Source organism: Homo sapiens, chromosome 19 (assembly GCF_000001405.40).
Source record: "Homo sapiens chromosome 19, GRCh38.p14 Primary Assembly".
NCBI lineage: Eukaryota > Metazoa > Chordata > Mammalia > Primates > Hominidae > Homo > Homo sapiens.
In genome coordinates this window covers 43,528,512-43,543,597 of record NC_000019.10, presented here as the reverse complement: position 1 = coordinate 43,543,597, position 15,086 = coordinate 43,528,512, and the positions used below count along the sequence as shown (strand labels likewise).

At 51.1% G+C, this 15,086-nt stretch overlaps 2 protein-coding genes across 5 annotated transcripts in view, besides 2 other annotated features; one reads left to right on the top strand and one right to left on the bottom strand.

Annotated features, from left to right (window-relative positions):
• The window catches only part of XRCC1 (X-ray repair cross complementing 1), a 32,217-nt gene extending 31,930 nt beyond the window's left edge, over positions 1-287 (top strand). The window contains exon 17 of the mRNA NM_006297.3: positions 93-287. Within this exon, the coding sequence (NP_006288.2) occupies positions 93-206 (114 nt within the window). The 3' untranslated portion in view covers positions 207-287. The remainder of the gene's footprint in view (positions 1-92) is intronic.
• On the bottom strand, positions 7,511-12,763 carry ZNF575 (zinc finger protein 575). 4 transcript variants are annotated; one of them, XM_011526793.4, is made up of 4 exons: positions 11,718-12,763; positions 9,696-9,803; positions 9,097-9,261; positions 7,511-8,569 (listed from the first exon to the last, which is right to left on the bottom strand). In XM_011526793.4, exons 3-4 carry the CDS (start codon positions 9,173-9,175, stop codon positions 7,911-7,913), a joined length of 738 nt encoding a protein of 245 aa, XP_011525095.1. In that variant the 5' UTR covers positions 9,176-9,261; positions 9,696-9,803; positions 11,718-12,763; the 3' UTR covers positions 7,511-7,910. The 4 variants fall into 4 exon arrangements, with proteins under 4 accessions (XP_011525095.1, NP_777605.1, NP_001381166.1 ...); NM_174945.3 differs by lacking the exon at positions 11,718-12,763 and adding an exon at positions 10,077-10,410; NM_001394237.1 differs by lacking the exon at positions 11,718-12,763 and adding an exon at positions 10,077-10,410 and having other exon boundaries at positions 9,097-9,192.
• Positions 9,995-10,304: a silencer, noted in NCBI's record as "silent region_10722". NCBI's record gives its function as "represses an Ori minimal core promoter by ATAC-STARR-seq in GM12878 lymphoblastoid cells {active_cell/tissue: GM12878}" and the evidence as "EXISTENCE:reporter gene assay evidence [ECO:0000049][PMID:35858748]".
• Positions 12,272-12,443: a silencer, noted in NCBI's record as "fragment chr19:44035307-44035478 (GRCh37/hg19 assembly coordinates)". NCBI's record gives its function as "represses an EF-1alpha promoter that drives an FKBP-Casp9 reporter gene in an ReSE screen in K562 erythroleukemia cells {active_cell/tissue: K562}" and the evidence as "EXISTENCE:reporter gene assay evidence [ECO:0000049][PMID:32094911]".

The window sequence follows — 15,086 nt, the reverse complement described above, 5'->3', positions numbered from 1 at the left end:
GGCAGAGAATGGGAGACCCGGGCACACCTTTGCATCTCCTCCGTCCTCCCCTCGATGACACATTCCCGTATGGACTCCACCCCACCCTGCAGGCCCTGATGGACAACCCCTCCCTGGCATTCGTTCGTCCCCGATGGATCTACAGTTGCAATGAGAAGCAGAAGTTACTTCCTCACCAGCTCTATGGGGTGGTGCCGCAAGCCTGAAGTATGTGCTATACACACACACACACACACACACACACACACACACACACGATGCATTTAATAAAGATGAGTTGGTTCTCATCCAAGAGTCTCCCAAAACTCTAAGAGGCTCCCTGGGACCTGGGGAAGAATGCTGGGCACCTCCGTCAGAGATCTGGTAGAGAAGGAACTCTTTGTCTCTTCTGCTTGGCCCCTTATCCCTGTGTTGGCAAGAGGCAGGGAACTGGGAATCTGACCCTCAGCACTGCCCCTCAACTTTTTCTGGCCCTCTGAGCCACACCTGTATCTTGGCTGTCCCTTTGTGGCTGGAGGCCTGGGTACCCATGAGGCTTGTCTCTCTCCTGAAGCCTCAGCGTCCCCAGGCCAGGGATAGTGCCTTTCCTCCAGGGTTTTCAGAAGTAGCTGTATAATGAATGTCACCACTGTGGTTTTACATCACCTAATTTAGGAGGTAGAATGGGAGGAAGGGACATTTTAAGCAACCTACCCAAACCCTGCACCCCCTTCAAGGCTCCACCACATTTAAGTGGGAATTGAGGTGATTGTGAGGGAATCAGGGCAGAGGATGGGATGGTGCTCTAGGCAGAGGCCATAGCATGGGCCAGGAGGTGGGAAGCAGCCTGAGGCAGGCAGAAGAGCATTGCTGCCTTTGGCAAAGAGGCTTTGGGGGCAGATTTAGAAAGCCAGGCACAGTCCTTGCAGCTCTGCTGTCCAGTGTGATCACCACTGGGTACAGGTGGCTATTTAAATTAATTAAAATGAAATGAAATGAAATGTAAACTTCACTTCCATAGTCACACTGGCCATGCATTTCAATTGCTCAGTGGCTATTGTATTAGGCAGTACAGAGAACATTTGCATCAGTCTAGAAAGGTCTTTTGGACAGGGCTGGCCTGAAGGTCTGCGAACTCCAGGCTGAGAAGCCTGGACTTTAATCTGAGGGTGGGAAGGTTGGGAGGGGGTTTGAGCAGGACAGAGGCCAGGGTCAGAGGTAGGTTTGAGATCTGACCTTTGGGTAACCTTTTATTGGACATTCCAAGCCCTTTCCCAACTTTTGCCTCATCAACCAAGGGCTACCAGTCTCACTCCTGTCTCTTTCTGGACCTTTGTTTTTGCATCTTTAAGATGAGGGTGGTTTATTATTATTATTATTATTATTATTATTATTATTATTATTAGAGACAGGGTCTTGCTCTGTTGCCCAGGCTGAAGTGCAGTGGTGCAATCATTGTTCACTCCAGCCTCGAACTCCTGGGCCCAAGCGATCCTCCTGCTTCAGCCTCCTGAGCAGCTGGGACTATAGGCATGTACCACCACACCTGATAAATTTTCTATTTTTTGTAGAGATGGGCTCTCACTATGTTGCCCAGGCTGGCCTCGAACTTCTGGCCTCAAGCAGTCTTCCCGCCTTGGCCTCCTAAAGTGCTGGGATTACAGGTGTTGAGCCACACTGCCCAGCTAAGGGTGGCTTTAGACTTCATGTTCACTCATTCGTTTGCTCATTCACACTCCCACCGATAACTCACCATGTTAGTTTTGTACTACTGCTATAACAAATTATCACAAGCTCAGTGGCTTAAAATAATAGAAATTTATGATCTTACAGGTTTGGAGGTCTGAAGTCCAAAATGGGTATCCTTGGGCTAAAAATCAAGGTAGGCAGGGCTGCGTTCCTTCTGGAGGCTTGAGGGGAGAATCTGTTTTCTTGTCTTTTCCAGCTTCTAGAAGCCACCCACATTCCATTCACCTTCTATATTCCAGGCCTGCAATGGCCTGTTGAGTCCTTCTCACATCCCATCACCCTGACCTTGACTCTTCTGTTCCATACTTCCACATGTAAAGATCTTTGTTATTGTAGGCCAGGCGCAGGGGCTCACGCCTGTAATCCCAGCACTTTGGGAGGCCGAGGGGGGTGGATCACCTGAGGTTGGGAGTTTGAGACCAGCCTGACCAACATGGAGAAACTCCATCTCTACTAAAAATACAAAATGAGCCGGATGTGGTGGCATATGCCTGTAATCCCAGCTACGTGGGAGGCTGAGGCAGGAGAATCGCTTGAACCCGGGCGGCGGAGGTTGCAGTGAGCTGAGATCATGCCATTGCACTTCAGCCTGGGCAACAAGAGATCTTTGTGATTACATTAAGCCTACCTAGATCATTTGGGATAATCTCCCTGTTTTTTTGTTTTTGAGACGGAGTCTTGCTCTATCACGCAGGCTGGAGTGCAGTGGTGTGTTCTTGGCTCACTGCAACCTCTGCCTCCCAGGTTCAAGCAATTCTCTGCCTTAGCCACCCGAGTACCTGGGATTCCAGGCGCCTGCCATCATGCCCAGCTAATTTTTGTATTTTTAGTAGAGACGGGGTTTCGCCATGTTGGCCAGGCAGGTCTCGAACTCCTGACTTCAGGTGACCCACTCGCCTCAGCCATTCAAAGTGCTGGATTACAGGCGTGAGCCACTGTGCCCAGCTGGGATGTGAACATCTTTGGGAGGCCATTACTCTGCCTACCAAAGCCACCATGTGGGGGACACTGGGAAGACAGTATGAAAAAAACAGTAGTCCCCGATCTCATTGGCCTGACATTGTACAGGGGGAGAGAGATGGTGCACGTGCAATGCAACCTTGGACAGTGGGAAATGCTGTGAGAGCAAGGAAAATAGAGCATTGTGAGTGACAGAGCAATGGCAGGGTCCTGGTAGTTTATAGATAGGATGATTGGGGATGGCCTCTTGGAGGACTTACCCCTCTGCAGGGACCTGGGAGAAGTAAGGAGTATCTGAGAGAGCCCTTCCAGGTAGAGGAAAAGCAAGTGCAAAGGCCCCGAGGCAGGAGCGAGCATTATGTGTTCAAGGAACAGCTGGGTGGGTGTCAGGCTATCAAGAGACCTAGGATCCACCTAGACTCAGGTACTGCCCTGTGGTTTGGTTGCCAATAAATCTCATCTTTCCTGGCCTCATTTCCCCAATCTGTAAAAGTAAGGTTGGACCAGATCAACGCCCTCTCACATGAGTATGTGTCTTTGAAATTTTGCTGCTGGTGTGGTTGCTTTGGAGAAATTCTTCCGGACAGTTCTCTGCATAAACGTGGATACAAGCAGCACTGCTGGGTTGGGAGGACAGAGTAGAACCCTTACCCCTCCCAAAACCTTCCCCGAAATGCCTTACTGAGTAGAGTGCAGTTCAGCAGCCTGCTCAGTCCTAGCCCTTAGGCTGGACACTTTCTTTTCTCCTACTTTTATTTTAAGTTCGGGGGTACATGTGCAGGATGTGCAGTTTTGTTTCATAGGTAAATACATGCCATGGTGGTTTGCTGCACAGATCATCCCATCACCTGAGTATTAACCCCAGCGTGCATTAGGTATACTTCCTGATGCTCTTCCTAGCCCCCCACCCCCACCCCCTGACAGGCCCCAGTGTGTGTTGTTCCCCTGATGTGTTCTTTTTTTTTTTTCTGAGGCAGAGTCTCACTCTGTCGCCCAGGCTGGAGTGCAGTGGCATGATCTTGGCTCACTGCAACCTCTGCCTCCTGGGTTCAAGGGATTCTTGTGCCTCAGCCTCCCGAGTAGCTGGGATTACAGGCGTTTGCCACCACGCCCAGCTAATTTTTGTTTTTTAGTAGAGGGGGGTTTTGCCACGTTGGCCAGGCTGGTTTTGAACTGACCTCAGGTGATATGCCCGCCTCCACCTCCCAAAGTGCTGGGATTACAGGCGTGAGGCACCATGCCCGGCCATGTCCATGTGTTCTCATCATTCAGCTCCAACTTATAAGTGAGAACATGCAGTGTTTGATTTTCTGTTCCTGCGTTAGTTTGCTGAGGATAATGGCTTCCAGCTCCATCCATGTCCCTGCAAAAGATGTGATCTCATTCCATTTTATGGCTGCATAGTATTCCGTGGTGTATATGTACCAAATTTTCTTTATCCAATCTATGGACACTTTCTACTCTCTCACTCCTTCCACCACAACTTTCAGATCTCAGTTCAGACATTACATCCTCAACAAGGCCTTTCCTAACCTCCACTGTATAATAGGATATGCCAGGTACACACTCTTAAAATACTATATCTCATCCATCCTAGTCATAACTTTACATTCATTTATGGTCACATTTACCCATGTTTTCATCTATGATTTACATTCTTTTGTCTCTTAAGGATACTGTCTCTACTTCTGGAGTTACTAAGATAATTCTTCTTATTTCCATGTAAATATTTTTGAGTTCTTCTCTTCAGATTTAGATCTTAAACTCCCAGAAACTTGTTTTTGCATATGGTGTGAGGTAGGGATCTGCAGTAGTTTCCCATTGTTGCTGTAACAAATTGCCATAAGCTTAGTGGTTTTAAACTACACAAGTTAATTTTATTATAGTTCTGGAGGTCAGTAGTCCAAAATCAGCCTTATTGGGCTAAAATCAAGTGTCAGCAGGGCTGCAATCCTTCTGGAGGCTCTAAGGAGGAATTTATTTCCTTGCCCTTTGTAGGCAAAATTCCTTGACTTGGGGCCTTTCATCACTCGAATGTTTGCTTTCATGATCACCTCTCTCTGTCTTCTGCGTCCTTCTTTCCCATATAAGGACCTTTGTGATTATATTGGGCCTATCTGAATAATCAGGATAACTTACCCATCTCAATCACATCTGCAATGTCCCTTTTGCTACATGCAAGCTAACATACAGGTTCTGGGGATTCAAATGTGGATATCTTTGGGGGATCATTCTTCTACATACCAGGGGATTCAACTTAATTTTTCCCCATGTCTCTTAGCCTTATTTATGATTAGTCTGTCCATCCTCCACTCATCCATGTCAAGGCTCAACAAACTATAGCCCATAGGCAAAATCCAGCCTACCTAGTGTTTTGGTAAATGTTTATTGGAACACAGCCATGCTCATTCATTTATGTATTGTAATGTGTGTGGCTGCTTTCCTGCTACAGTGGCAGAGTGGAATAGTTGTGGAAGACACTGTATGGCCTGCAAAACTTAAACATATAACAGATGCAGCTGGGCTTGGCGGCCCACGCCTGGAATCCCAGGACATTGGGAGGCCAAGACAGGAAGATCACTTGAGGCTAGGAGATTGAGACCAGCCTGGGCAACATAGTGAGACCCCATCTCTACAAAAAAATTTACAAAAAAAATTTAGCTGGGGGCTGGGCGCAGTGACTCACGTCTGTAATTCCAGCACTTTGGGAGGCCAAGGCAGGTGGACCACTTGAGGTCAGGAGTTAGACCAGCCTGGTCAACATGGTGAAACCCCATCTCTACTAAAAATACAAAAATTAGCTGGGCATGGTGGTGCACACCTGAAATCCCAGCTACTCAGGAGGCTGAGGTAGGAGAAGCTTGAGCCCAGGAGGCAGAGGTAGGTTGCAGTGAGCGGCGATCATGCCACTGCATTCCAGCCTGGACAACAAAGCAAGACTCCATCTCAAAAATAAATAAGCCGGGTGTGGTGGTGCTTGCCTGTAGTCCCAGCTACTTGGGAGGCTGAGGTAGGAGGATCGCTTGCGCCCAGGAATTCAGGGCAATGAGCTGCGATTGTGCCACTGCACTCCAGCCTGGACAACAGAGCAAGACCCTGTCTAAAAAACAAAACAAAACAAAACAAAACAAAAAAAACCCAATGCCCTTTGACTTACAATGATGCTACATCCGGATGAACCCATCATAAAGTTGGAGAATCCTGAAATCAAACCATTGTTAAGTCAGGGGACATCTGTACTCTTTGGCCCTTTATAGAAAAAGGTTGCCACTCCCAGGTCTACAGGTCCAGTTTGTCATATGTCAGCATAAGCACAGGTCTGTTTCTGAGCTCTCAATTGTCTTCCACTGGCCCGTTTTCAAGCCACCACCACCAATTTCATTACTGCACAGCTTTGTAATCTTGTATCTGGGTTGAGGGGGTGGGGAGCCAAGGCTCTCCTACTTGTTCTTCTAAATGGACTTGGGGCCGGGCATGGTGGCTCATGCCTGTAATCCTAGCACTTTGGGAGGCCAAAGTGGGAGTCCAGAAGTTCAGACTAGCCTGGGCAACATAGACCCTGTCTCTACATACATACACACATGGATGAATGAATGACTTGGCTGCTGCTGCTTTTTTTTTTTTTTTTGAGGCAGGCTCTCTGTCGCCCAGGCTGGAGTGCAGTGGTGCAACCTTGGCTCACTGCAACCTCGTCTCCCGCGTCCAAGCGATTCTCATACCTCAGCCTCCCAAGTAGCTGGGATTACAGGTGCATGCCACCATGTCCAGCTAGTTTTTGTATTTTTAGTAGAGATGGAGTTTCGCCATGCTGACCAGGCTGGTTTTGAACTCCTGACCTCAAGTTATCCGCCTGCCTCAGCCTCCCAAAGTGCTGGGATTACAGGCCTGAGCCACTCTGCCTGGTCTGCTGCTGCTTTTTAAAATTAGTGTTCACTTTCCTCACTAGACAAGGTCTGTCTTCAATGCTGTGTCCCCAACACCCCATGCAGGGACCAGCACACAGGAGGTGCTTAGTATTTGTGGAATGAAGAACATTCCAATGTTAGCTTGTTCATCCTTATTTTATAATGAGAGAAACAGGCTCCATAAGGGGAACTGACTTTGCCTGAGGTGTTGCTTGCCCCTTACAAATGCCTTATAACCCACCCATTTTACAACAAAGGCATCTGAATCCAGAGGAGTGACAAAGCTTGTCCAAGGCCTGGCAACTTGTAAGAAGTGGGTCAGGGATGGGTCTGAATCTTGGGCTTTTTTTGTTTTTCTTTTTGAGATGGGGTCTCGCTCTGTCACCCAGACTGGAAGGCAGTGGCACCATCACAGCTCATGGCAGCCTTGACCTGCCAGCTCAAGTGATCCACCTTCCTCAGTCTCCCAAGTAGCTGGGACTAAGGTACATGCCACCACAGCCAGCTTTTTTTTTTTTTTTGGTAGAGATGGTGTCTCGCTATGTTGCCCAGACTGCTCTTGAACTGGCCTCAAGCTAACCAAAGTGCTGGCATTATAGGCGTGAACCACCACACCCAGCCTGAAGCTTGGGCTTTTGAATGTCTTTAAATGGTCAGTGGTATATACCCTTTGTTCTTGCTCTTATCACCTAGTGTATCGGAGATTTTTCCACATCAGTACATATAGCGCTTCCTTTTTTCCTATGGCTACCTATTCCATTCCATGGCTGTAATTCAATAGTCGGTCCCCTGTTCTTGGGCACTTGAGTTGCTTCCAGTCTTTGGCCACAACAGTCGCACTGCAGTGAACACCCTTAACACTATGCTTTTTTTTCACATTCATGAGTTTATAGAATAAATTCCTACAAGTGGAAGAGTTGAGACAAGCATGTATGTATTTTCAATTTCTTAGATACCGTCATATGGCCAAAGTGGAGACACCAGTTTAAACTTTTAACAAGAGAGCCTGTTTGCCCACAATCCTCATCAACCCACGATAGTAGCAGACTTTTTACCTTTGCCATGTAAGTGTGTGGGGAGAAGCAGAGCCAGCGCTGTCAAACCACAGCTCCACGTCCATGGTTTGAGATCTCCCCAAAGCAGGGGAGCAAAGAGTTCCTCGGGCTTCTGAGCTCGAGCCCAGTATAAATGGCCAATCCCTTGCCCTGCCCTCTGCCAGCTATCTGGAAGAGGCGAGCTCATACAGTCGGTCTTAGAAATCCCACCTCTTACTGGCTAGGGCTGGCGGCAGAAGGGGACAGTGAGCCAAGGGAGGGCTCAGTCTCTCTCCCCCTTGTGCTCCACCTGGTGGTGGCTGCGTTGATGAAGGAGCAGTAAGCGTCTCTGGCCAAAGGCCTGGCCGCAGCTGGAGCATCGGTGCCAGGCAGTCGCCTGGCTGCCGGGCGCGGTTGGGGGGTCGTGACATAGGCGATGGGCGGCCAGCTTGGAGGGAAATGAGAAAGCCTTGGGGCAATGCGGGCAAGGATAGGGGCGGGCGTCGGTGGCGTGGTGCGTGTGGCGGTGGGCCGCCAGCTTGGAAGGGTAGCAGAAGGACTTGGGGCAGTCGGGGCACGGGTAGGGGCGGGTGGGTGCGTGGGTCCAGAGGTGAGCCGCCAGCTTGGAGCGGTGGCCAAAGGACTTCGGGCAGTGTGGGCACGGGTGCGGGCGGGCGCCGCTGTGCGTGAGGCGGTGGGCTGCCAGCTTGGAGGGGTAGGAGAAGGCCTTGGGGCAGTCTGGGCATGGGTGGGGTCGGGCGCCTCCGTGTGCTAAGCGGTGCGTGGCCAGCTTGGACGGGTACGAGAAGGCCTTGTCACAGTCGGGGCAGCGGTGCGGGCGCTGGGGCGGGGGCCGCCGGCGAGGCCGGGGAGGCGAGCCCGCGGACGCGGTGGGCCCTGGAGCTGACTGGCTGGGCTTCTGCGGTGGGCCCTGGTGGGGAGCTGGGGGACAGGAGGGCTGGTGGGCTCCAGGAAGCAGCCAACGCCCTGGGCCTAGGCCAGGCTCCGCCACGACTTTGATATTCGTGGGGCTCCTCCAAGTGTACCTGGGCACCTCAAGCATCACATTGAGACTCCCCAAATTGCATGTTTCTGCTCCCCCCTCCCCCCAGGCGTCATTCTGAGGGACTCCAAAGGGTTACTTTCCTGGATCCCCAAAGCTACTAAGGCTTCCTCAAAGCTACCAAGGTATCCGTTTCTAGTATCTTCCCAGTGATCACCCTGACATCCCGCATGTCATCCCTGACCCGTCCCTTCTGTAAGGCTCATTTCCTGAGCCTTAGCAAATGGTCACTGAGGCTCTCTCTGAGCCAAATGGGAGGATTTCCCAGAATGTGGCAGTTTTGGGGATCCCAAATAGTCATCACCCTAGGGCCCTCAAATTTTCACCCTGAGATTCCCCCAGAATGTGATTATTTTGGCCCCCGTTCCTGGAGAATGCTCCCTACTCACAGGCGGGGCACTCTCACCTTCTTTGGTCACTGGTTCCTTGCCAGTGGGACTAGGATCGGTAGCCCCGGCCGCGGACTCCGCGCCTCGCTCCAGCATCTTGCTGGCACAGGAACCTAGGGGCAGGGCGCGGGGCGGGGGTGACGCCGGTGATGACCAGGCTGATGGGGATAGGGTTGGAGGGCCTAAAATGAGGGATCACACTGTTTAGGAGCAAGGTCTGCAAGTATGGGATGCTAAGGCGGGGGCAGGCTTAGCGGGGAGGCGGAGCCTAAGAGCACAGTGAGCGGGGCTATGCAAATTCAAGCCAGAGGCAGTCCCTTCGCTATCTAAACCCAGGGTTGGAGTCTTTCAGCAGAGTGGGCGGAGTCTCCACAACTAACTCAGCGGCCGTCTTAAGCGCGGAGCCGGCGGGGCCTATGCGCAGAGTGGGCGGGACCTTCCCCACCAGACCCTGCAGTCCTGGAATGGGCGGGGCTGTACAAAAAAAGTCTTGTTCTGAAACTAGACCCAGGGGGCGGGGGCCTTCGAGCGGAGTGGGCAGGTCTTTCATCACCGTCCCAGGGGAGGGGCCTATGGGCACAGTGGGCGGGGCTTCACGTCGAAGACCTAGCTTTACCCGGCTTTTGACTTAGTCTCAGTTCATTGACGCCGCGTCAACTGCGCCCTTCTTGCCGTTAAATTTCATCCCTGGCTTGGATGGGGCCGTGGAGGATAGAGGGGGGACCTGGAGGAAGATACGGAAGGAACCTGGCATGCGTCGCGGTCCAGAGACCCCTAATGGACTTTTCCCTCAGAGTCCCAAGCGTAAAGGATTCAATGCACCCCTCGGAATCAGACATTCAGGCACCGATGCACCCTCCCGAGGCTCTGGCACCAATGCACAGTCCCTCCAGCATCTCCAGAATCTAGGCGTCCGGACCACAACCGATCTCCCTCGGGGTGATTCTGGCATTCAGCCTGCAAGCCAATATCCGCGCCCGAACCCCTGCGCCCTCACCTGCAGGACGGCCCCTCCCCGGGGGCGGGGCTTCCGGCTCCTCCCGCCACGGCCACGGCCGCAGCCGCTGTCGCCGCTGCTGCACTGCCCTCGGACCAGCGGAGCTGCCCCGCCCGGCGCGCGTCCGGCGTCGGGGGAGGGCAGGCAAGGGAGCGCGCGCAAGCTGCTTAGCCCAACCTCATTTCCATCCCCTCCTCCCACGCTGGACCAAAGGGGGCGTCAGAAAGCATGCGCAGTGCGGGCTGGCAGAGGCTGCAGAGAGGGGGAAGAAGGAATGGAAGGAGGGGCTGGGTGCGCCAGCCAGGCAGGCAAGTTCGTGAGCAAGCGCGAAGCTACCGTATCGACAGAAAGTGCACCGCCGGTGGCGGGGCCTACGGTGGCTGACTGGAGTCAAGCATGTACAAGACTAACATGGACAAACTGCGCTTGGAAATCAGTGCATGCACCCGTCTTTTTAATGTCCCTCTTCTTTTCGAGAATTCCGCTGAGTTCCATCTCCAGAGGCAGTTTCAAGAGCTCGCTGCTAATTCTACCCTTCAAGGCGTTTGCAAAAAGTCTGGCCAGTTCTTCGAGAGAGGGCGGGGGCGGGACTCCGGGCTCAAAGAGAGCCAGTGCCCAATAAAAGGCACGTTATTTGCACAGCGCCTTGGCACACCTCGCTATTGGGTGATTCAAGATTCTCAGCCACGCACCCATCTACCTTCCCCCTCGGAAGCCTGGGTGGTCCCGAGGTGCCCTGGCCCATGCTCTTGGTGCCAGGCCTGGGGTGGCATGCAGCTTAGCATTCTTCCCGAGCAGTGGCGGTGCACCTTCCTGCCTGGTGCAGAAAGGACCAGGAAATGCCCATAAAAGTCCTCTGCATGGGTGGGTCTCAGTCCGATAACCCGCAAGGTCTGGCGATCCCTGGGAGTTTGGCGGGGTTATTTGGACTCTGGAGCCAGATTGCCTGGGTAACTGGTTTGGAATACGGCTGTGCCACTTTCTAGCCGTGTGACCCTTTCTAGCTCTCTTTCTAGGCCTGTTTCCTCATCTATAAAATGGAGCGTTTTTAGGATTAAATATGATAATCAATGGAAAGTGTTTAGACTAGAAAGTGCCTAGGCCGGGCTCCCTGTCTCATGCCTGTAATCCCAGCACTCTGGGAGGCAGAGGCGGGCGAATCACTTGAGCCCAGGATTTCCAAACTAGACGGGGGCTAGGCACGGTGGCTCACGCCTGTAATCCCAGCACTTTGGGAGGCGGAGGTGGACGGATCACCTGACGTCAGGAGTTCGAGACCAGCCTGGCCAACATGGTGAAAACCCGTCTCTACTAAAAATACAAAAATTAGTCAGGCATGGTGGCACACGCTTGTAATCTCAGCTACTCCGGAGGCTGAGGTGGGAGGATGGCTTGAACCTGGGAGGCAGAGGTTGCAGTGAGCCAAGATCAAGCCACTGCACTCCAGCCTGGGCAACAGAGTGAGACTCCGTCTCAAAAAAACAAAAAAACCAAAAACCCAAACAAACAAAAATCCCAGCCTAGGCAACATAGTGAGACACCTCCCCATCTTAAAAAAAAAAAAAAAAAAAAAAAAAAAGTCTGGCTTAATGGCAGCCTGTAGTCCCAGCTATTTCACGGGGGTAGGGAGTGGGGACTCACCCAGGAGTTCATGTCTGCAATGAGCTATGATTGTGTTACTGCATTCCAGCCTGCGCAACAGAGTGATACCCCGTATCTTTAAAAAAAAAGTTTTTAAAATAATTATTCACTCATGACCAGTATTGTTTGATTTACCCCCCATCCACTCTTCCCAAATGATTCTGAAGCTAAATGTCAAACATCATATCTCATAAATATCTTTTTATTACACTTGATTTGCTTGACTTAAGATCTAAATGAGCTCCACACATTGTATTAGTTTGAAGTGACACTTCGGTCTCTCTCTCTCTCTTTTTTTTGAGATGGAATCTCGCTGTGTCCCCCAGGCTGGAGTGCAGTGGCGCAATCTTGGCTCACTGCAACCTCTGCCTCCCGAGTTCAAGCGATTCTCCTGCTTCAGCCTCCCAAGTAGCTGGGATTACAGGTGTTCACCACAACACCCAGCTAATTTTTGTATTTTTAGTAGAGACAGGGTTTCACCATGTTGGCCAGGCTGGTCTCGATCTCCTGACCTCGTGATCCACCCGTCTTGGCCTCCCAAAGTGCTGGGATTACAGGGGTGAGCCACTGTGCCCACCTCTTTCTTTTTTTGCACGGAGTCTTGCTCTGTCACCCAAGCTGGTGTGCAGTGGCGAGATATCAGCCCACTGTAACCTCCACCTCCCAGGTTCAAGTGATTCTCCTGCTTCAACGTCCTGAGTAGCTGGGATTACAGGTGCCCGTCACCACGCCTGGCTAATTTTTTTTTTTTTTTTTGTATTTTTGGTAAAGATGGAGTTTCACCATGTTGGCCAGGCTGGTCTCAAACTCCTGACCTCAGGTGATCCGCCCACTTCGGCCTCCCATGGTGCTGGGATTTCAGGTGTGAGCCACCGCGCCCAACCTCTAGGGCCACAGCTATTTTCAAGAACCATGATTTTAAGAAGGCAGAGTAGAAGCCAGAAGACCAGTGAGGGTATTGTTATATATTAATTACAGTATTAATTGCTAGCACTTATTATACACTGGAAACTGTCCTTATGTGCATTAATTTATTTAATCCCCATAGCAATGTTTTAAGAGGAGGTGCTACTATCATCCTTGTACAGAGGAGGAAAATGAAGTGTGGAGGGGAAGGTCATCCCAGCCAGGAAGTATCAGAGCCAGGATTTGAATCCCTCAGCCTGGCCCTGCAGTCCAGGCAATTTGCATTTATGCTTTGCTGCCCCTTGAATGGGGCAGAGGGTGTGATAACAGAAAAGTGGCCTGGTTAAGATAGGTTAAATCTGGCTGGGCACGGTGGCTCGGCCCTGTAATCCCAGCACTTTGGGAGGCTGAGGCAGGTGGATTACTTGGGGTCAGGAGTTCCAGACCAGCCTGGCCAACATGGTGAAACCCCATCTTTACTAAAACTACAAAAATTAGCTGGGTGTGGTGGTGTGCACCTGTAATCCCAGCTACTTGGGAGGCTGGGGCAGAAGAATCTCTGGAACCCAGGAGGCGGAGGTTGCAGTGAGCTGAGATTGCACCACCGCACTCTAGCCTGGGCAACAGAGCAAGACTCCATCTCAAAAAAAAAAAAAAAAAAAAAGAGAGAGAGTTTAACTCAGCAGGGCCTGGAAGTGGGTGGAGGTGGCAAGGGTAGGAAGGAGTCAAGGATAGTGACAAAATAATGATGGGCAGTTCCCATTGAGAGCCTGTGCTATGTCAGGCTATTGAACTATTTTCAACCTCATTTTGTAGATAAGAAAACTGGAACCCAGAAGAAGATAAGTTTTCAGCCCAAGGTCCTACACCTGAGAAGGGTGAAGCCAAGTCTAACTCTTAGAACATCTCACAGCTGAGCCTATAAACCCTGCCTAGGGTGTGTCTTCAAAGGACACATAAATGGTCTAGAAATTCTGCAAAAACAACGGGAAAGGGTGCCAGGGGCGAGAAGTTCTTATTTGGGGGACCCTCTCAGTAAGGAGTGCCTGAGGGTCTTCCTTTCCCTGGCTCCTCCCTCCCCTGAGTTCCCCAAATCCCTACACCTCCCTGTGTCTCAGACCTGCTTTCCCTACCTCTCTCGCCTACCAGCCAGACTGAGTCACCTCTGGGTCCTCAGCTTTGTCTAGCTTGAGTCAGGCATGCATGAGACCTCATGCCTGGAATTTTTTTTTTTTTTGAGACGGAGTCTCGCTCTGTCGTCCAGGCTGGAGTGCAGTGGCACGATCCCGGCTCACTGCAAGCTCCGCCTCCCGGGTTCACGCCATTCTTCTGCCTCAGCCTCGAGAGTAGCTGGGACTACAGGCATCCGCCACCATGCCCGGCTAATTTTTTGTATTTTTTTTGAGTAGAGACGGGGTTTCACCGTGTTAGCCAGGATGGTCTCAATCTCCTGACCTCGTGATCCACCCGCCTTGGCCTCCCAAAGTGCTGGGATTACAGGCGTGAGCCACCGCACCTGGCCTTTTTTTTTTAGACACTCTCGCTCTGTTGCCCAGACAGGGTTTTGCTATGTTGCAGAGGTGCAATCTTGGATCACTGCAAACTCTGCAACCTCTGCCTCTTGGGTTCAAATGATTCTCATGCCTCAGCTTCCCAAGTAGCTGGGTCTACAGGCGTGCCCCACCACGCCCAGATAATTTTTTTGTATTTTATTTTATTTTTTTCAGTAGAGATGGGGTTTTACCATGTTGGCCAGGCTGTCTCAAACTCTTGACCTCAAGTGATCTGCCCACCTAGGCCTCCCAAAGTGCTCAAAGTGCCTGTGCATGAGCTCAGCCATATGCTTTTTTTTTTTTTTTTTTTTTTTTTTTGAGATGGAGTCTCCATCACCCAGGCTGGAATGCAGTGGCACGATCTCAGCTCACTGCAACCTCCACCTCCCGAGTTCAGGCAATTCTCCTGCCTCAGCCTCCTGAGTAGCTGGGATAACAGGTGTGCACCACCACACCCAGCTAATTTTTATATTTTTAGTAGAGATGGTGTTTCACCATGTTGGTCAGGCTGGTCTTGAACTCCTGACCTCGTGATCCGCCCGCCTCAGCCTCCCAAAGTGCTGGGATTACAGGCATGAGCCACCGCGCCCAGCCGGCCACATAAAATTTTAATGAAGCAATTTGATAGGCTTAAGGAAAAGCAGGCCTTCTCTGTGTAAAGGCATTCACACAGGGGCTGCTCTGAAAATAGCTCCAGGGACCATTCCCTGGAAACTCCAGAATTAAGATAAATGTTGTTGCAGGAAACCCCTCCTCAGAAGCTGTGGGACAGGATAACTCAGTGGTTCATACCTGTAATCCCAGCATTTTGGGAGGCCCAGGTGGGAGGACCATTTGAGGCCAGGAGCTGGAGACCAGCCTAGGCAACATAGCAAGACCCCTGTTTCTACAAAAAAAATTCTAACAATTA

Bases quoted from the DNA above. Each gene is read 5' to 3' on its own strand.
- ZNF575 (XM_011526793.4), bottom strand. From the start codon at position 9,175: ATGCTGGAGCGAGGCGCGGAGTCCGCGGCCGGGGCTACCGATCCTAGT. The intron at 8,570-9,096 runs GTGAGAGTGCCC...CCTGTCCCCCAG, and splicing joins GGAACCAGTGACCAAAGAAG to CTCCCCACCAGGGCCCACCG.